Raw genomic sequence first — 21,676 nt, 5'->3', positions numbered from 1 at the left:
CATCAGAGCTGACTGGAGTCCCTGTTTGAGGGAGTCTGTGTTCAACATTCATGAAACAGTAGTGGTCCCCATGGCCTCAACAATGACCACCCTTTAGCTTTTTGTTGTTCCCAGTGGGAAGAGTGGCACTTGAGGAATCTCTGATTACTCTAGTTAGGTGCTTAGTTTCTGTGAAGCTAGATGAGATTTGAGATGGGAGAGACTGGCAGTGAGTAACCAAAGAGAGAAGAGATCTGGAGCTGTTATGGGCTAAAGCCAATGTGTGTGCCCATGCCTTTGAAAAACCAGTTTTATGGCTGACCTGGTTCTATACTTTTTTTTTTTTAAACTTCTGTGAAAAGAGAAACAGACATTAGAACAACTTTTGGAGTCAATTTTGTTCATGGTGCTGAATGGCTAAGACAGATTGAAAAAGAATTGGATTCTGTTTGTAAAAGCTTTTTCAAGAATACACATTATGGAAGATAAAAATTGGGGTGTAGTTAGGAACTTGTTGACACATCTAGGATAATTATGCTGATGAATATCCTGATAATAGCCTCAGTAAAACATTAATTTCTTAATCCCTATTTTTTAAATGAAATTTTATTTATTAGTGCTTCAAATTCTAATTTTGAGTGCTATAATTTAAACTATATCTGGATATAGTCTTAAATTGTTTCTTAACAATAGTTTTCATGAATACCAAATAAGTTATTGGAAACTAATAAACGTATTAATTTGGATGTATTATACATGCTGTGACAGAAATGACTGCCTATCTTGTTCTTAACATTTTCTAAATTATCATCTAGTTTTTTGCTGACCCATTTTAATTGTTTGCAATTTGCTTGGATATAAATCTCATCACCTGATCCCACTGTTAGAAGTAGTAGCACATGTTTGCATTCTTAAATTAATGTTTTAAATGGATATTATTTCGTTTAAATGCAACAGTAAAATAAATCCAAGGCATGCTTACTTTTTCTAAGCTAGAATTGCTTGAATTCAAACAGGATTGATTTGCTCACATTTCTTCGATGAGAAACTATCTGTTGGTGAAATGCAGAATCATTTATTGTTGGATGCTTTGTGTTCTCACATAAATTGCCAATGACAATCTGTTAACTGATGAGTATAAATTAGTAATTCAGTACACCAGTCTTTTCCCCATCTGTAGGGAGAGAAGGCATAAGAATATTCCTTCTCTGAAAGCTTTTTCAAAACAAAAAGCCAGGAGAGTCACATGACTTTTGTTGCTATCAGGAGTCTGTAGGGTTGGTATCACTCAAGTGATGAAATGAAGGACTGGAGTGTAGAACTGGTTTAAGATAAATCAGGACAGTCTTACCACACCAGTGAAAACGAGCAGGCCAGGTGCAGTGGCTCACACCTGTAATCTCAGCATCTTGGGAGGTTGAGGCAGGAGGATCGCCTGAGCCCAGGAGCTCAAGACCAGCCTGGGTGACATGATGAGACCTCCTCTTTACAAAAAATACAAAAATTAGCTGGGCGTGGTGGTGTGCACCTGTAGTCCCAGCTACCCAGGAGTCTAAGGTGGAAGGATCACTCAAACTCTGGGAGGTAGAGGCTATGGTGAGCCGTGATTACGCCACCGCACTCCAACCCAGGCAACAGTGTGAGACCCCATCTCTAAAAAACAAAACCAAAGACAACAACAACAAGAAAACAAGCAAAGCACAGAGTTAGGGAGCCTCTTCCTCCTATTTCATTTGTTTTTCATCAAGAAGGTGATAGATTTTGGCACTAATAAGTAGTAAAAGAAGCAACATTATTATTTTCTTTAAGTTAACCTAGAATTCCCACAGTCTTATTTGAGGTAAATTGAGGACCCCTGAATGATTGACTATAGGTGAATGAGATATATTTTGGTTTTCCTCTTGGATAAACCATCACTGCAGATATTTGTCAATAACTGATGCTTTCTTTCATTAAGTTTGCTGCCTTGAATACCCTTTCCAGTTACTATGCTTAATGGCATATAGAAAATCAGTTTATCTTAGCAGTGAGAGTACAGGCAGATGTATTCTGTGCATTTATTTTGGCCTGATTAAATAGGGAAACTTACTGGGGAGACCAGGTAACTTTAATGGGAGGGTGTCTGCTGCTGGGAGTGAGGAGGTGGCAGGAATGATAAAGGTGCTGAAAGGAAAAGGCTTGGAAAGGATGAGTTCTCCCCTTTCTGAAGCTACTCTCCTATAGACCTTGGCTCTTCCTTTCCACAGAACGCATTTTTCATTCATATTTTTTCTACCTCTCAAATATCACTTTTTGTTTCCTGTTGAATCCTAGGATCATTTAAAAAGTTTTAGGGAACTAACAAAACATTACCATTAACTTTGAGAAGCAATTTCCAACTGTGCTGTGTTCAGCGGTTGAGCGTGTTTACTCCCCTAAGTTAGAGCCAACTGGAAAGAAGTGATTTTTGTCAAAAGATTTTTGCTTTTACTAAGAGTCGTTTAAAGAACCACCTTTTTTTCTTTTTTTATCAACAACAAAAAAAGATAGAATGAGGTTTATAAGCCCTGTTAATTAGCTACAAAAGCAAATTATCTCCTAAAGTAAAACTACAGCATCCAAGGTGATTTAATCACATCTAATTAGAAATAAAAATAAATCACTATTTTTTAGGACCTGATGTATAATAATGAAAAATTAATCCATTTAATGGGACGTTGTCATCTTCAAACTTGTAATTTTGGTTAATAATCCAAGGGAGCTGCTTTAAGTACACCATGAAAAAGGCAGTTGTGAAATTCTAGGCAAATTGACAAATTTCTGTCTGTTCTTTCCTTTGCCCTAATGTAGGTTGTAGGAATAAATCAGCTTGTTTGATTTATCTTTGGTGATGGTTCTTTCAGGGGTAAAAGTCGCGATCTCATTTAAAAAATTATAGTACATCTTTCCATGAGATATTAGAGTTCGGAAACTAGAAGAAAATTATAAACTTTCTTTATGAAGCAGTCACGTATGTATATTTTTCTTTTCAGGTTCAAGAATTGACCAAGGAATGGACAAATAAGTGGAATGAAACCCAAAATATTTTGAAAGTAAGGACTAGAAAAATGTGTTTAGTCTTACTATGGTGGATTAAACTGGTAAAACTTTTTTTTTTTTTTTTAATCTCCAAACATGGCAGTTGTATACTTTGTTAAGGTAAGATCACTGGAACCAATTAGTGACTTTCATGGGATGGGAGTTCTGGTTTGATTTTGAAGAGTGAGAAAGAAGGCTATTAGATATTATAGCTGTGTGTTTTAATATGTACAGGTTATATTGATATTTAAGATGTTTGCCTTTACTTTTAGGGGTTTTTCCATTTTTGACTCAGCACATATTAGAACTCTATTTAATATTCAAGGATATTCACTTTGTTTTTCTGCTTTTGTTAAAGCCAATATCAAAGCAACATATTAAATGAAAAAAATATTTCCCGTGGCAATATTATAGAATATGCTTGCAAAGCACGGCTAGATTTCAGAAATTTCAAAGCTAGTAATTTCCTATCAAAATATTTTTCTGCATGTCTCAAGGACTAGACTGGGATGGCCTGTGTTTCTGGCAAGACTTGCTGTGAAAAGATGTCAGCAGTAGCCTCCATTTATCATAATGCTTCAAAATACAAGTTTCTTTTTGTTCTCATTTTTTGCTGAGTTGGCAGACAACCTCTGTCATCTGTTGAGAGTCAGCCATACCAGGTTTGAGACACAAATTTGAGTTTTGTGCTTTGATGGTATCTGGCTGACTTTGTGCACAAGAGAAAAGAATTCAGAGGCTATTCAATGTGAGGTTTGTTTTTGACATCTGTTGAGGTAAAACTTTCCCAAAGAACAAAAATCTCCATCTGATATTGATGAGACCAGATAGATGAGTCTTGGCAGAATGTCTTGGCAGAATCCTAAGGTGGATCACCTTCATGTGAGAATGGCACACCTAATTACTGTTTCACAGGGTAAACTTCTGCAGCCTTGGATTTGCAGGTGAGTTCTGCATCTGACAACTGTTTCAGAATGCAGGCTCAGCATTATATTATGTAATGTTCTCCTTGCACCATTTAGGCAACTTGGCTTGACCAGGTGTTAGAAAGATTGTATCTCATGAGATCAGAGGTTGTGCTTAAGTTTAGATGGTGGTAGGTTGTGATGGTCCTAGAGATGGCCTTTCCAGCTTCTTATGTACTGCAACAAGTGAGGGTTTCTGCATTCAGACTTTTCTCTTCTCCTGATTACAATGATAATGTCATATTATTTTGAGGTACTTCTGCAGTATTTTCTTTGTTGAGAGATTTTTGTGCAGGAAACTGAGCAAATACTTCGTTCATATTTCAGAATAGTCAGATGTGGAATAAGTTCACCAAATATGTGACTTTGTTGTTGTTTAAGTTGCATTCCCTGTAAGAGGTGTTGGTGCCTCAGCCCCTGAAGCCCAAGTCATTTGACTTTTCATGCACCATGTAATGTTGCTCTGGAAATTTGTCAAAGAGGGAGGACTAAAATCTACTTTACTTAAGGAAAAAAAAAGAAATCAAACCGTTAGCTATTTGAAAAGTCCTTAGTATACATAGTGCCCATTAGCACAGGAGGCAATGCTGCAAGAGGTGAAAAGATGGAAGCTCCGTCTCTTCTGCTGCTGCGGCAGCGTCCCTCCATGTCAATGTAGTAGGGCTTTTATAATGTTTCTGTAAAGGGTATCCACACCGAGAACTATGACAGCCTGAACTTTTTCTTATGCTTTTTCTCAGAAGGTGATTTTGGGTCCTGAAGTTAAATTCTCCTCCAATTCCAATGCTTTTTTAAAAAATAAGTCTAACTATTTTCTTTTTTATGACTTTTCATAGGAGAAGGGAAAAATGTGATGCATGCTAGGTGTTAAACTTTATGAGAAAGGAGAATGCTATTTCAATGTTTTTCCCTTTCTCGATCTTATAAGCCTGTTTTAGACTTTTCTGCTAGTATTTGTGCTTTAAACCTGTAGTCATTTTCTGCTCGTGTTTGATATTTTAAGGGCTGCCTTAAACTCTTATTGGAAGACAGTGCCTGAAGACTAAGGTGAAGAGGAGAGCTACTCAAATGTTTTTATGAAGACATTCTTTAGAAATTGATTGTTAGTTGATGGGTTTGTATCTGTATCCTTTCCCGTATTTCTGCTGTTAGCGTTTTACATCAGTCAGTCATTGTTCCAGTAATGCGCATAAAACCCACCCCAACTCAGTGGCAGTTTCCTGAGCTGTGTGCTCATATTCCCTGTTTGAGTTATGAGCCATGAGGTTGGTTTATTGGCATATATCCTGAGGAGTGGCTGTACAAACCCCCTCTCATGGTGGGCAGGAGGCTGAAGTCAGTGGGTGGGGAGAAGGTCCATTGAAGTCAGAATTGCTCTTGAAAGTTCCTTAAATTTCCCTGGAAATCACCAGATCCTAAGCTCTTGGATACTCAAAAGCAGGGAGTGACTTTGTTCCCTTCTTTCTCTACCTAGTCGGTGGCTTCCCTTGCCCTGCGTGAGTGGAATCCACGGTCCTGTTGAATGAAGGTGGAGGGGAAGTGAAAGACTGTGGGGTGGGTGTGAGCTCTGACAGCAGGCACTGACTGCAGCAGAGCTGGTGGCAACATGGTCATCGTGGCTGGAGCCTTGGGCTTTGATCTGCAGAACTCAGAACTTGGATGTTAGTCTTCAGTTCTCTTTCTGACTCACTGGGTCATGGCACTCATCCATAACTGCCACGTACCCTACTTCCCAGCTTGGAAATCACAGCGGATGGCAACCTCTTCCTTATATCCAAGTTAACAGAGGAAGACATCATTAAGTTCTGAGTTATTTTGAAAGTAGTTGACAGTAGAACATGTGTTTATCTTAATGAGGCAGGTCTTAGACAGTTAGGTAATGAGAGAGAGTTTTATTATCCTCTGTACTGTACTCTATGTCTCCACTCTCTTGCCCCTTAGTCTGCCTTCCTCATTTTTATTACTTTTCATTTTCTAAAGTCCAGACTTCTTTGCCTGGCCCCTACAGGCACTAATCTCCTTGTCGGTATCATCTGTCCTAGCACAGTTCTTTCTGTGCCCACCACCCCTGGAGTCCCCGCCCTGCCAGAGGCCCTGCTGCTGGTTGGTGTGTGCACCGGGGCTTTGGGTTTCCTGGTGTCTTGTGGTCTTTGCCTGTGTTACTCCTTCATTCAGGATGTGTCCCCTTTCCGTTCCTCTAGCAAAATCCATCTTGAAGCCCGCCTCCCCCGATCACTCCTCTTCTCCCCTACTTCCCAGTTAGGATGAATTTTCTTTTCCTTTGTGCTTCTGCAGTATTTGGTTTTGCTTCTGCCACAGGATTCTTTGTCCTCTGAGTTAGGTGGTATTGGTTTCTTCCTCTTTCTGCCAACTCTTACACACAGAAAAACAGGAGCAGGATCTGGCCAAGGACTGTCTCATTATCATTCCGCGAGCCAGCTCCTAGCACTCTGCTTCTCACAGAGCAGGCATGCGGTGAGAATGTATGGGATTAGGTTAGTATCAAGAAACAAAAATAAAAACCTTTGTATTAATCTGCTAGGGCTGCCAAAACAAAATACCACAGACTGGATGGCTTAAAAAACAGACTTTTATTTGCTCACAATTCTGGAGGCTGGAAGTCCAAGATCAAGGTGCTGGCAGATTAACTTCTCCTGAGGCCCCCATCCTTGGCTTGCAGATGGTCCTCTCTTGTCTGTGTCTTCATATGGCCTTGTTTTTTGTGCCTGCAACTTGGTCTCCCTGTGTGTATCCTAGGTTCCTCTTCTTTTTTGTGTGTTTTTCTAAATTTTATTTTTGAGATGGAGTTGTGCTTTTGTTGCCCAGGCTGGAGTGCAATGGTGTGATTTCGGCTCACTGCAACCTCTACCTCCCAGTTTCAAGCGATTCTCATACCTCAGCCTCCTGAGTAGCTGGGATTACAGGTGTCCACCACCATGCCTGGCTATTTTTTGTCTTTTTAGTAGAGATGGGGTTTCACCATGTTGTCCAGGCTGTTCTCGAACTCCTGATCTCAGGTGATCCACCTGCCTCAGCCTCCAAAGTGTTGCAGGCGTGAGCCACCATGCCCTCTTCTTATAAGGACACCAGTCAGATTGGATTAGGACCCATCCTAATAACCTCATTTTAATCCCCTTAATTAATTAATTTTAACTTAATGAAAGGCTCTGTCTCCAAATACGGTCACATTCTGAGGTACTAGGGGTTAAGGCTTCAACATGAATTTTAGGGTGTCGTAATCCAGCCTATAACAACAGCCCTGAGCCATACAAATCTGATGACCTAGTGGGCAGAGTGACAGGGAGTGTTGTGCAGGCGGCGGTCCTGTCCCAGTGATGCTCTTCGCTATGTTTTTCTTCTTACTTTCTCATTCCCACTAGAAAGGCTCTTGTATGATTGTGCATTTTTATTCTCGGAGGGAATATGGCTGAAGTACAGCTCAGTCCTTCATTTGGATCCGTTAGATCCTTGCTGTTTAGAGCATAGCATGGATAGCAGCATCAACATCACCGGGGAGCTGGTTAGAAACGCAGGCCCTCAAGCCCAGCTCCAGACCTCCTGGATCAGAATCCGTATTTTATAAGATCCCCAGGGGACGGGTCTGTACCTTCAAGTTTGAGTGCTGAATTTTTTTTTTTTTTTTGAGACAGGATTTTACTCTGTCACCCAGGCTGGAGTGCAGTGGTGCGATCTTGGCTCACTGCAGTCTCAACTTCCTGGGCTAAAGTGATCCTCCCACCTCAGCCTCCCAGGTAGCTGGGATTACAGGCATGTGCCACCATGCCTGACTAAGTTTTGTATTTTTTATAAAGATGGGGTTTTACCACATTGGCCAGGCTGGTCTTGAATTCCTGGGCTCAAGCAATTCTCCTGCCTTGGCCTCCCAAAGTGCTGGGGTGACAGTGTTGATTTAGACACACTGAGGAAATGCAGAGTAGTCTTAGGCTTCCTTGTCCTCATATCTGTTCTTCTCCTTCTCCTGTTCTGCCCTGTCTCGTGGGCTGACCCCTGTGGGCCGCCCTTTTCTGGGCTCCTGGATCCCTGTGGAGATTGGAGAGAGAAACCAGGCCCTCCCCCTTCAGCCTCGCCTAGCATCCCCAGCAGCAGGTACCTCTTCTCCAAGGCCCCAGCTCCTGCAGCAAGGACCAGCCCATTGTGGTAGCAGTTCTGCCAGGTGACATAGCCTTGCCCTCGGGAAATACTCCCTCATGCCTTTGCCCCTCCTGCCTAGGGTGATGCTGGTCTCTGCTGTTGCCAGTTTGTGGGTGGCCTTACTGTTCCTAATGGCTTTCCAGCTGTTCCTTCAGCTAAGTAACCAATTCTTTGTATTAAAGTCCCTTGGATTTAAATACTGAAACAGTTTCTGTTTCGTGGTTAGGCTTTGTCTGATACATTTGATACCCAAGTGTGTTCCACATGCAGGCTCTGGACTGCACTGCCAGCACTTCAGAATCTGCTCCATTCACATAGGAAGCTCTCTTCTTGGGTTTTTCTGGTCTCTTTGTTAGAATGCTGCCTCAGTGTGATTTTCATCCTGGCTAAATTTATCTCAAACTGCAGTGATTCTCTTGGAACTGGGAAGTTAGTGTTGTGATAAATCCAGCCTTGACATCAATGGATTCTTGAGACCCTTCATATCGGTTTCCCTTTTGCGTGGCTACAATATTGTGCTGACTGCCTGGTGTTTGAAGTGGTTTACAAAGTGACTACTCAATCCCCCTGCCCTGTGTACCTGTAGGCTTGGCTTTTACAAGTCCCCTATGTTTTATTGCTAATGATTTTTTTGAAGTGATCCTTTAAGAGGAGGAATCCCCAGTTTTTTCTCCATTCCTGTGTTCTCCTTCCCCACCCCAGTCTTTATGCCCTTTTGGGTTTATCTGTCCTGCATACGTTTTGGTTTCTCTGTTCCAGCGTTTTATGAACAATTAAAGAAAAATGCTCAAGGTATGTCATCTGGCTTCCAAATAACTCCTTGAGCTCTGTGCTTCAAAATAACGCACAGACAGTTTGGACTGCAGCGCCAAGCTGGCAGCCCTTTGACAGATGGTGCGGCAGAAGGGAGAGCTGCCTCTGTGAGTGTCTGTCCAGAGCAGAGCTGCAAAGTGGTCCTCGCAGCCCTGAGGGTGCTGTTTGAATCCTTCCAGCATTGGTTATTCTTCTCATTTTTTAATCAATAAGGTCCCTTTTGTTTTTGCTGAAAACGTATCCTTTGATGGCTCCAATGTCCGGCTGGCTTTGGTGTTTTCATTGCCTGCACAGGGCTTTTGACTGTGGTGTGGCAGCGGGTGGGAGAGGAGAAGCAGGCGCTCACATGCAGATGCCTAGCTGGAGAGGCTTTTCCTTGGAAAGTGAGCAATTTGTATAAGTTGGATTGAAGTTGTTTTATTTAGACTTTAATTATGTGGAATTATTTGGTGTCTTACACACTTAACAATTAATGTTTGTCGAAAACTGAATTTGGAGGATGGAGCATATTTGAATCCATGTGATGATGGGATCCTAATGTAAATGACTGAAGTTTAAATTGAGCTGGCGTCTTGATATTCCTTCTCTGGGGGAGTAGGAGAGGCAGGATACTACAGGGCCATGGCAGGGGTGGATAGCACAATGATGAAAGATAACTTGTAACCCTTTCAAAATGTTTTGACTAACAAGAAATATAGTAAAATGAAATTGGGATTCTTTTCCGGCTTAAGATGTTCTGAGTTTAAATTTCATGGGGAGGCATGCTTTCAACCAGCTTATATCTGTTTTATAATAGAATCAATCCACTGAACTTTTTGTCTCCAGAACATTATGGCAACCTATAAAAGATTTTTTTCTCTGGCTGCCTGCAGTTTTCCATTTTGTGGAGAAGATGTGTATTGGGAGTGTAATGGATTCGGAAGCAGCTCTCGTAACTGGGGCTGTTGCTCAGCAGGCTTGTAGGCGGGTCAGGTTTGTGGAACAAGTTTCCTGCGGTCCTCTGGATTCCTGTTGTCCAGGGCACTGAATCCTCTGGTTTCTGGAAAACCTACAGACAAAGCATGGGAGAGACAACATTTTTTGTGGCCTCTCTCGTTTAAATGCAGTTAATCTTTTTTTTTTTGAGATGGAGTCTCGATCTGTCACCCAGGCTGGAGTGCAGTGGCGCGATCTTGGCTCACTGCAAGCTCCGCCTCCGGATTCATGCCATTCTCCTGCCTCAGCCTCCCAAGTAGCTGGGAATACAGGCACCCACCACCACGCCCAGCTAATTTTTTGTATTTTTAGTAGAGATGGGGTTTCACCGTGTTAGCCAAGATGATCTCAATCTCCTGACCCTGTGATCCACCCACCTCAGCCTCCCAAACTGCTGAGATTATAGGTGTGAGCCATGGTGCCTGGCCTAAATGCAGTTAATCTTGACCTCTTCTTGGTACAAACGTTGAACCTAGGAGTAGATCTGGGGGATAATTTTATTTATGGTCATCGATTTCTCCTAGATTTTAGATGAAGGAGGAGACATTTCTTTCAGCCATGGGTTACCAGCTTCCTTACCAGCAACTCTTTGGGCATTTGATGCTTCTGACCTCAGATAATCACACATATTGTTTATAGTTAGTTATCGCCATTCTAAAGATAGAAAGTACTGACTCGAGAGCTCATTTGGCTATGTGACGATAATATATTGAGTTTCCAAGTGTTCATCCAGGCAGAAATTGGCTGCAGTGGTAATTTGAGAAGTCAGTGCTCTTTCCCCTTTGGTTTTCATTGTAAAAATCGAGTCCGTATAGTTCAGCTCCTGTGGATTAGTGCAGTCCATGTGTAGGTCATGCCTGTAGGATCTCAGTAAATTTCCTGTAAGATTTATTTTTGTAATTTTAAAAAACTATTTTCAAACTTTTGAAAACTTTTGGGCGAAGAAGAGATGAGAGGTGGTGGGCATCCTTTGACATGCTAACGTTCCAATTAACTAGGATTGCTACCTATGTTCAGAAGGAAATTCCTAGCATTACTATGAGTTTGAAAATATTCTCCCCATAATAGAATTTCTTTCCCAGCTTCCCTCCCTTTATCCCTCCCTTCCTTTCTCCCTCCTTCATTAAGCACATGTTTATTGAGAGCATCTTATGTGGTAGACCTAGTTCTGGACACAAGGTATACCCAGTGAGCAAAACAAAGAATCCCTGCTCTCATGGAGATTACATTCTAGAAGTGCTAGAAGACTTTTCCCCACAATTGGGTATTCTTCTGTAAAGCTCCCATAGTCTCATCTAGTCTCGTCCTCTGATTTCTAACAAAACGGGCCTAAAATACTTTTGTTGATAAAGCAATATCAGAGTTCTGCTCCCAGAATCTCTGATATTTGAAGCTTGAGATTATATAAAATAAATAAGATTTTTTTCAGTTCTATTATTAGTTAAATTTACTTACAAAGATAACTTATGCTAAGTGAATTTATATACACATATATATGTATATATATGTGTGTATATATATGTGTATATATATGTGTGTATGTGTGGAGACATGCTTATATACACGTGCATGTCTGCACACATACACTTAAAGCACTTTGAAAAGCCCTTGCAATATAGAAAGTATTTTGTAAATTGACATCCATTAGGATATAAAGTCCATGAGGACACAGTTTCTGTCTCTTTTGTTTATTGCTCAGTAGGTCTGAACACTGAATGGTTGGTTTTAAAGGCCCAGTGTGGCTGTACATTACTGCAGAAGTTGTTTGGAGGAATGAGTTCATACATGGAATGACAGCTGTTCCTGGAGATGGGAGGGGATGATATTTGATCCTTCATGTGTTGTAACTATCCATATGTTTGTCATTCTCTCAGTTAAATTATAAATTCCTTTAGGTCAGGGAAAACATTTTGCTCATCTTCGAATCTCTTAAAAATTCTAGTGTCTTGTGCAGTAGCTCTTTATAAATAGGAAGTGTTCCATGAATAATTATTGAACTCAGCTTGTTCTCCCATTTTTGAGAAGTTTCAGGTCAAGTTTGAGGTTTTTTTCTATAGAACAAACTGCCTTAAAACCTAGTGGCTTAAACAGACTGTGATTATTTCTCTTAATTTTGTGGACCAGCCTGGTTTGGTGGATTTCTCCTGCCTTCACTCATGCCCTGGAGTTGAATGGTCCAAGATGGACTCACATGGCTGGTGGTTGGCTTGATGTCAGCTGGGGATGATTTGGTCTTGTGTCCCTCATCCCCATCAGTTTAGGCCTTTACATGGTGGTCTCTGGATCCTAAGAATGGCAAGAAAGGATAACCCCAGTGTCCAAGCATTTTTCAGGCTTTCAGTTGCATCTCATTTGCTAATGCCTCATTGGCTAAAGGTAGTCATGGGTACAACCACAGTGTAGGAGTGGGGAATACCCAAAGGAATGAGTACAGGCAGATCAATAATTCTTGTCATTTTTTGCAAAAAAATCTGCCACGAGCATCCTTTTTTCTCTATTTTACTTGCCCCTTTGCCTTCTGCTAGCCCCAGTGGTTTGCAACTGTGTATGTATGAGTGTATGTTCCTGTCTTCCTATAGAAGAGAGTATTGAAAGGAAGAAGGATTTGGGATCAGGGGTTGCAATGAAGATGACTTGAGAGAGGATTTTGAGATATCATTTGTCTCTCTGCTTTAATTTGCAGACTAGCGTGGATGATTTTGAGTCGGTTTGAACAAAAGCCACCACCAGTACCATCACACGCAAAGCCTTTTATCTTTTTCTAATGCATTTACATATACTATCTCATTGGCTCTTCCTTGTTCTTAAAACAAGAGAAAAAATACGTTACTGTACTTTATATAGTATGCAGTTGTTAATTTGTCAACCTCTCATTAAAGTTAGACTCTGGCTGCTAATTTCTGTCAAACTGTGTTCTTCCTTTTCTAAAGTTCTGCTCTTGCAACTGTATTTTAAGATGAAAGGCAAAGTAATAAAGAAAGTTCATTGTTCTCTGCAACTGGGACTTGATAATTAACAGGGGGAGATGACTGTCAGTGCTATTGCACTTGGCAGGGTCAGAGGCTGAGCTGAGCTATTCCCATAACCAGCTCTGATGTTGTTACTGATGCCAAACCTACCATATTTTCCATTGCAGTTCTCATCTTGAAGGGGCTGCTCATAAATAAAGGTATTCCAAGTATATGCTGGTTCTTACTTTTGAATAACATTTCTGGAGCAAAAAGGCTCAGAAATAATTCATGTGCACCATGTTAAATGTTGGTGCCATGCCATAAATTATCTTGAATGCATAAGGGATTTTCCTTCTGATCTTTTGCGGCGAGGCATGTGCGCTGATGGGCTCTGACTGCGTATTTATTGCTACGGTCAGAGAGGAAAAGATTGGTCATATGGAAGTGTGCTTTATGTACACTTGTACTCAGCGGATGCTGCATTGTAGGAACTTGGTTTAGTTGGCTAAGAAGCTTAAAAAAACACAATTTCATGACATAGATAAGTTGATTGTTTATGTCACCCAGGAACACATTTAACTCACCTTGGAGGATTTCTACGTCTTGTGAGCTTGGAGAGGAGGGGGTGGTTGGTGGAGCAATAGTGAGCCAGGGAGCAAGGAGATGGTTTTCTCCTTGCCTAGACTAGTGACTTTTGCCTGTGTGTTACTCTGGATCAATAATTTATGATTTTTCTGACGTTGGTCACCACTCACTTTCTGTTTCTCAGAACCTCACTGCAAGATGCCAACAATAGTAGTTCCTGTTATATAAGGGGAGAAAGGAAACACACAGAGGCTGAGGGCAGTGTCCAGCACATGGTCAGCACTGTGAGCATTACAGCATGTGTTCCATTTTCTCTTATTAATTTTGTTTACTCTGAATCTATCCTTTTTGATGTAAAACTGGGTTACCAGTAATACCTATCTTCTCAGCTGGGCAGAAAAGAAATGAAATTATGTATATGGAAACTTTTTAAGGTATGTAGTTTTATACAGATACAAGCTGGTGTTACTTAGACGTATTTTATCAGGTAGCTACAATTTTCTGTTTGTTTATTTACATTGAATAACAGAAAACCCAATTCCAAACTGGATTATATGGTACAGGGGTTTATTAGCTCACAGAAGAGTGATGGTGGGATGGAGTTTAGGCATGGTTTGATCAGGGCTCTGGCTCACCAGGATTCTCCTTGGTTCTACTTTTTGGTGTACTGACTTACTCCTCAGGCTGTCTACCCTCAGAATGCAAAGGGAGAGCAGCAATTACAGATTCATATCTCCCTAACGCATTACCCAAATTCAAGGAGTGTGCATTCCTGAGTTCCCAACAACTTTTTGAGCTCTCCATTGAATGGTGCATTTCTGAACCAGTCTCTGGGGCCAAGGAGACACTGTATGCTGACTGGCTTAGGTCTAGGTTATCTAAACCAATCAGTGTGATAAGGGATAGGTTACCCTGATTGATTGAGATGAATCAAGGGCCACCTCTGGAGCCCTTTGGAGTGAGGTCAAGCTCATTCACCACAGCTTCTGTGAGCTGGGGTTGGGGGAGCAGGTGAATCAGGGTGACACCATTCACATTTCCTACCATAAATATAGAACTTGGACACTTACTATAGTGTCATATATATTCAAGGCAAACAGGAGATGCACATGAGTTGAGGCATTCTTTTACTTCTTAAGAGAAAATATTTATGACTCAGGAATCCTGTATTGAGGTGAAAAATTACATAAAAGCAGCTGAATATCTGTACTGTGGTGTGAACATTCCATTACAGGAGAGCCCTCTGTTTTCTGGTGTTAGAACTGAAGAATGGCACACAACAAATTCTGTGTATTTAAAGTCATTTTCCTTTTCTCCTTTAGATTGATTACATGATTTAAAATGAGCTCCAAATGCGGGTGTGTTCTCTTCAGTCTTTCATAGGTAGTTTTGAATTTGGCTCAATTTCTCATTGACCTCTTTAGCTTGCTGTTTTCCATCCCAGCCTACCTAGCAACAGTTACTAGGAGCGGCAGGTTGGACTTGCCCTCCGTTTGTATCACAACAGCCAGTTTTCAGAGATTACTTTTTCCTTAGCATCCTGGTTGATTTTGCCTTTGCATTATTTAAGGATGACAGCAGTTTCTCTTAACTCCAGGCAGCAGAGCTCCAAGCAGAAGTGGTGGTATTAAGAAGTTTGTATCTGTAAGGATCAGATTATGCTAATCAGCATAATTAGCAAATGGGCATCTACTGACAAAAGAATAAGGGCCTAAGTTGCATGTGGATGTCTATTACCAGGATATTCTGATATTTCCAAGGAGGAAGATGACTATACACTTCTCACATCTTATCTCGTACTTTACATGTCACCTTTGTTATTCTGGATCCAGCATTGTCATCTTTCTGACCATGGTCACAGGTCACTTTCTGTTCCCCAGAACCTCACTGTAAGATGCAGACAGTAATCGTACCTATCATACAAAGTGAGAAACGAGGACAGGCAAAGTGCTGACAGTGGTGTCTAGCACACAGTCAGCATTACAGTAATGTCATCCATTTTTTCCTTATTAATTTTGTTTACTCTGAACCTGTCCTCTTTGATGTGAAACTTTTCCAGCTAAAACCAGCCTTCCTAAGTTGTCTTTGTCAAATGGATGAGAGGAGTTGGTTCCAAATAGCTCTGAATTCTCCCTGAAAGAATTTAGCCACACAGACATCACAAAAGATGGTCATTTTCCTCTAGGTCCAGTACATTATACATTTAAGCCTTTTTTGTTCTCGTAATTAGAGTGAAAGTGTGCTGGCATTCCCAGCAGATTTGATGGAAGTCAAGCAACAGAATTTGACGTGACACTTCTTTAGGTTGCTAAGTCCTATTTCTCATCCAAAACCACATATAGCAGTTATTCTCCACCTCAGAAGTTGACTTTTGGACAGGTGTGGTAGCTCACGCCTTTAATCCCAGCACTTTGGGAGGCTGAGGTAGGAGGATTGCTTGAGGCCAGGAGTTTGAGACCAGCCTGGGCAACATAGAGAGACCCTGTCTCTACAGAAAAAAAATTAACCAGACAGGTGGCATACGCCTGTAGTCCCAGCTACTTGGGAGGCTGAGGCAGGAGGACTGCTTGAGCCTGGAAGGTTGAGACTGCAGCGAGCTGTGATTGCTCACTGTACTCCAGCCAGGGCGACAGAGTGAGAACCTGTCTTGAAACCACTTCCATACAGAAGTGGTTTCCACTCAGAATCACTGGGGATCTTTTTAAAAAGACAGTTTTCTCAGCCTACCGCAGACACGTGAAAGGAGAATGAATAGGAGTGATACCCCCAAATCTCTATTTTTGACGAAAGTGTCCTGAGCCTCAGAAGAGTTGGAAAGCACAGCCCTAAAGCATGTGGAAGATCATCCCTTCAAACACATCTCTCCATGTTTATTGCATGGTTGTAGGTTCATAGAATCAAATGGTTCATATAACTTGGAATGTTTTGCAGCCCCCAAGTTGTACACTCATACAAGCATTTGGAGACACTGGGTGATGCCATTTGAAAAGAAATTTTAACTGAATAGATTCATTTTGTTAAATGCAGTTATTTGTTCACAGAATTAAAAAAAAACTATTTGAATTGGTTTTTGATTGAGATTTAACATACACAAAGTGTGAAGAGATGGTATATGCAGCTCATGAATTTTTACTTCTGTGTACCCCCATCTAACCCACACCCAGATTAAGATGTGTAGACATTGCCAGCTTCCTAGCTCTTTCCTCCTCTCTGCGGTTGTTCTGTGCATTGTGTCACCTCTTCACTGCTTATCTCATTTGAATGAAATACACAAAAGCCTTGTCCTTTTTTGAGTTCCTACTCATTCTGAGTTTTCACTTAATTTATTCTTTTGACATATCTTGAGTATTTTATCATTATTTAAGTCTTGTTTACTGAGGTGACCTGGATTTTGCCCTTGGACCTATCACTTACTAGTTGTGTGACTTTGACTAAGTTATATTCTCTCTCTTGGTCTCAGTTTTTTCAATCACAAGTGGGTAGGCTGATCTAGGTGAACTCTTGAGGATTTCTTCTGTCTAAGAAAGACTCGGATTCTTCCTTAGGAGGCTGTATAGAGGGCCCATGTCTTGGGTGCGAGGACCCTGCTGTGTTTCTCTGTTATGAAAGGTCTTCAATGAGGGCTTTCTTTTTGTCCCTTGTTTCTGGGTTTTTGTTTTGGAATACTCTTCCTTTTTGAATATGCCCTTGGAGCCCAGCCTCTATCTGGGCATTATATATTACATCTATACAGAATATTATGCAAATCATGAGTACTGCTTGGCAGATTTTCAGGAACTAAGCACACCCATACCTCCAGCAACCAGGTGAAGAAAAACACATTATTAGCCCCGAAGGAGTCCCTGCCATGTCCCCTTCTGGCAGTACTCCTCCTCCCTCCAAGGGAGACGTCTAGCCTGAGGTCTGAAAGCTTAGTGTTGTTTAGTCTGCTTTGAACTTTATCCACATGGAATGTACAGAGCACAGTCACATGTGGCTTGGTGTCAATGATGTGTTCTAAGAAACGTGTCATTAGGCAACTTTCTCATTGTGCAAACATCATAGAGTGACTTACACAGACCTAGATGGTATGGCCTGCTATACACCTAGGCTATATGGTATGGCCTATTGCTCCTAGGCTACAAACCTGTAGAGCATGTTACTCTATTGAACACTGTAGGCAGTTGGCACACAATGGTAAGTATTTATGTATCTAAACATAGGAAAGGTACAGTAAAAATACGGGGTTACTATAATCTTATGGTACCACCATTGCATGTGTGGTCCATTGCTGACTGAAACGTTATGTAGTGCACAACTGTATATTTTTTTGTTTGGCCTTATTTATTCAATATTAATTTTTTTTTAAAGTTCTGAGGTACATGTGCAGGACATGCAGGTTTGTTACATAGGTAAACATCTGCTGTGGTGATTGGCTGCACCTATCAACCCATCACCTAGGTATTAAGCCCCGCATTCGGTAGCTATTTTTCCTGATGCTCTCCCTCCCCCTGCCCCATCCGCCGCCTCCAGTCCCCAGCGTGTGTTGTTCCACTCCCTGTGTCTTCTTTATATTCACATTGTTCAACTCCCACTTGTAAGTGAGAACATGCAGTATTTGGTTTTCTGTTCCTGCATTAGTTTGTTGAGAATAATGGCTTCCAGCTCCATCCATGTCCCTGCAAAGGACCTGATGTTGCTCCTTTTTATGGCTGCATAGTATTCCATGGTGTATGTGTACCATATTTGTTCCATATTATGTTTATGAGATCTACTTATGTCTTTGTACATAGTTGTATAACACAATGTGGCTATACCATAGTTTATTCATTGTACTCGTTTTCTGTTTTGGGCTGTTAGAAATCGTGCTGCCATGAATCTTCTTAGACATGTCTTTGGTGAATGTATGCACATGTTTCTGTTAGGTGTATACTTGGAAGTAGAATTGCTGGGTTATTGAGTAGGTGTACAATAGTCCCCCCTTATCCACAGGGGATACATTTCAAGACCCCTAGTGAATGCCTGAATCCTTGGATAGTACTGAGCCCTATGTATACTATGCATAAACATATGATAATGCTTCATTTATAAATTAGGCACAGTAAGAGATTAACAACAATAGCTGATAGTTAAACAATTATAACAATATACCTGCATCATTACTCTTGTGCTTTGGGGCCATGAACAATTAAAATAAGGGTGACTTGAATACAAATGGTACACCTGTTGATCTGGTAACTGTCTACTAATAGTCTGGGGGGAAATACAGCATGGATATGCTGGAAGAAGGGTGATTTGTGTCCTGGGCGAGAAGGTGAGAGAGTTCATCATGCGACTGAGAACAGTATGAATTTTAAACTTTTGAATTGTTTCTGCCTAGAATTTTCCATTTAATATTTTTGGACCACAGTTAATGGTGGGTAACTGAAACCTTGGAAAGTAAAGCCGTGGATAAAGGGGGACTATTACATGTTTAGCTTTAGTAGATACTGAAAATAGTTTTCCAACGTGGTCATACCATTTGCATTCCCACCTGCCCTGCAGCCCGGTTGGTCTACATCCTCATGACATTCACTGTTTTTTGTCCTTTTCATGTTATGCACTCTAGTGGGTATCTAGTTGTATCACGTTATGGTTCTATTTTGAATTTCCTGAAGGTATGGAAAAAATTTTCTGTTAGTTTTAATTTGCATCATTTTCAAATGATTTGCCCTCTGACCCTTGTCATCAGGTGAATTGTCCCAGTATTTAATATCCTCAGCCTCTGGGCACTCCTCCAGCTCTCTCCTGTTCACTCCACTTCAGTTTTGCATAAACTTGCCATCCCAGTCATCTTGGAGAGCTGTCACTCACACAGTCACCACTTGTCGCAGATGCCCATCGGTACCTTCTGAGGTCCTCGGGGTATTCCATTGCCGTGGTCTGGAGCCATCCCAGCTGTGGTGAGTCTTTTGGGTTCTGCTTGCTTCATTTCCTTTCTCTCTTCCTTGTTGAGTTTGACTACTCATTCTGCTGCTCTGCTTCCTCCCCCTTTTATCTCTTTGTAGCTGTTACCTCTAAGCCATAGCTGTTTCTCTTCAGCCAGGTCAAAGTTCTTCCTGCCAAGTAAGAGAGTAATAACCATAATTATAGTAGAAAACGCCAGGCATATTTTGAATTATTTAGAGTTCTTTCTTCATCTTAGAAAACTTTTCAGCAAACATTCCCTGTAACCTAAACAAAGACCTAAAACTTACTCTGTTGGCAAATCCTCACTTACCCAGAATGTTTATGACTATCTTGGTTTAGCAATAAACCCCCTTAAATAACATGATTTCTGAACGTCTTTATTAAGAGACTTTAGATGATACTTGCTGGTTTAGGAAGTGCAGAGTCATAGTGGATGTGATTTAGTACATCTTTGATTCAGGTCAGGAGTCATCATCTAAACATCTTAAAGAGGTCTTTTACTCTATGCCGATTTCAATGCAAACCTTGTTTGTTGTTTGAGTCTTAAGGTGTCTTAACACTGTTCTCCTCAGAGTACTGTGGCACTGTGTGGCTTAAATAACTAAAGCAAGGTTTAGAGAGATCTTAGAGATCATCATCTTCATAGAACATAGAATGTTAGAACAAGGAGCCCAGGAAGGAATCCAGGCTAAACTCCTCACTGTCTTCCCCACCTTTTTTTTTTTTTAAGGAGAGAAAAAAAAAAAACCCACAAGGAAATTGAAGGCAAGAGAAATTAAATAACTTGGTCTCAGAATTTTTTAGGTAGACCCAGGGCTAGATTCTGTTTTCTCATTTCTAATCCAGTGCTCTTTAATTATGCCTTATTTACCTTTAAAAACGGTATCCAGGCCCGGCGCAGTGGCTCACGCCTGTAATCCCAGCACTTTGGGAGGCTGAGGCGGGCGGATTATGAGGTCAGGAGATCGAGACCATCCTAGCCAACATGGTGAAACCCCATCTCTACTAAAAATACATGGTGTGGTGGCACGCGCCTGTAGTCCCAGCTACTCGGGAGGCTGAGGCAGGAGGATCACTTGAACCTGGGAGGCGGAGGTTGCAGTCAGCCGAGATTGAGCCACTGCATTCCAGCCTGGCGACAGAGCGAGACTCTGTCTCAAAAAAAGTAAATAAATAAAAAAGATATTCAAACACCTTTGTTGTCATAACCGGAATGATACTTCACTTTGGTGAGGGGAATATGGCTATCCTGCATCTTTTAGAATCTAATTTTAAGATGTAAAATTTGGAGACAAGATTTAGCCCATGATATACCTAAATCAGAAACCATTCTATAATGGGCTCATTTGCATTTAAATTGTTCTCCTTTAGAGATTTTGCGAGTTGATTTTGAATAAAGGGCTTGTATTTATTATTATATTAAGCCAGATTGCTTTTTGTTAAATTTAACAAGATGTCTTTTAATGTCTGCAAAATCCTCTGACATTCCAGTCTGCTGTTAGTAAGTAAAGATATGTTTGCATTTAAAACAAAACTATTGGAGAACAAAATGATTTCTTCACTTTAACAAAACAAATGTGTCTTTTCAATGGGTTAATCTTATGAGATATTTTAAATATTGGAGTATAATACAATTGACAATTGGCAATCCCAATTATGGGAAAAGCTGTTTACCTTAAGAGCTATATATATATTCCTGTTTTATAATATGCATTTAAATACAATAGTAATGGGAATAAATGTTGTTCTACAGACTGCGTTTTAGTTTCTTAACACTAGATGTCACTGTAGATAGGAAAACACGCTCTGCCTGTTTGTATTTGTTGCAGGGCCCTTGGTAGTGGAGTTGTCTGAAGACGTGACAGATACCACTGTCAATACCATGGAATTGGGCCTGGTTGCTGATAATTACTGGATGCAGAATCTGTGTGAGAGATAAATTGTGCAGAATTTAGTATAAGTAATCATTCAGCTGGAATGTCTTCTTGTAGCTAGTTTGAGAATTGCTGCAGAAAGATGAAAATGCATCTTCACATTTCTGGAGTTCTTTTAAATAATTTTTCTAATCTTGCTTCAAGAGCAGAGTACCAGGGTAATATCTTACAGCTAAAAGGTTTTTGAAAATTGGGTCTTAGGTAGTCATTTTGATTAGCTTGCTATTAGAAAGCTTTTTGTGTCATTTACTTGTATTTGCCACTTAAAAGACTTTTCTTGTAATATCATTTCTTCTTTTACCTCTCATTTTCCTCATCTTCAACTGTGGAAGTTCTT

The 21,676-nt window shown here is 40.7% G+C and overlaps 1 protein-coding gene across 17 annotated transcripts in view, besides 2 other annotated features; it reads left to right on the top strand.

Annotated features, from left to right (window-relative positions):
- KIF16B (kinesin family member 16B) overlaps positions 1-21,676 on the top strand; it is a 301,345-nt gene that overhangs the window by 76,108 nt on the left and 203,561 nt on the right. For all 17 annotated transcript variants that reach the window (XM_047440266.1, XM_047440264.1, NM_001199865.2 and 14 more), the window contains exon 12: positions 2,991-3,050. In XM_047440266.1, the coding sequence (XP_047296222.1) occupies positions 2,991-3,050 (60 nt within the window). The remainder of the gene's footprint in view (positions 1-2,990; positions 3,051-21,676) is intronic.
- Positions 17,323-17,617: a silencer, noted in NCBI's record as "tiled region #3089; K562 Repressive non-DNase unmatched - State 24:Quies". NCBI's record gives its function as "represses a minimal TATA promoter and a strong SV40 promoter by Sharpr-MPRA in K562 cells {active_cell/tissue: K562}" and the evidence as "EXISTENCE:reporter gene assay evidence [ECO:0000049][PMID:27701403]".
- Positions 21,152-21,387: a silencer, noted in NCBI's record as "fragment chr20:16456599-16456834 (GRCh37/hg19 assembly coordinates)". NCBI's record gives its function as "represses an EF-1alpha promoter that drives an FKBP-Casp9 reporter gene in an ReSE screen in HepG2 liver carcinoma cells and K562 erythroleukemia cells {active_cell/tissue: HepG2 | K562}" and the evidence as "EXISTENCE:reporter gene assay evidence [ECO:0000049][PMID:32094911]".

Source organism: Homo sapiens, chromosome 20 (assembly GCF_000001405.40).
Source record: "Homo sapiens chromosome 20, GRCh38.p14 Primary Assembly".
NCBI classification, from domain to species: domain Eukaryota; kingdom Metazoa; phylum Chordata; class Mammalia; order Primates; family Hominidae; genus Homo; species Homo sapiens.
This window is presented reverse-complemented; position numbering and strand designations above follow the sequence as displayed.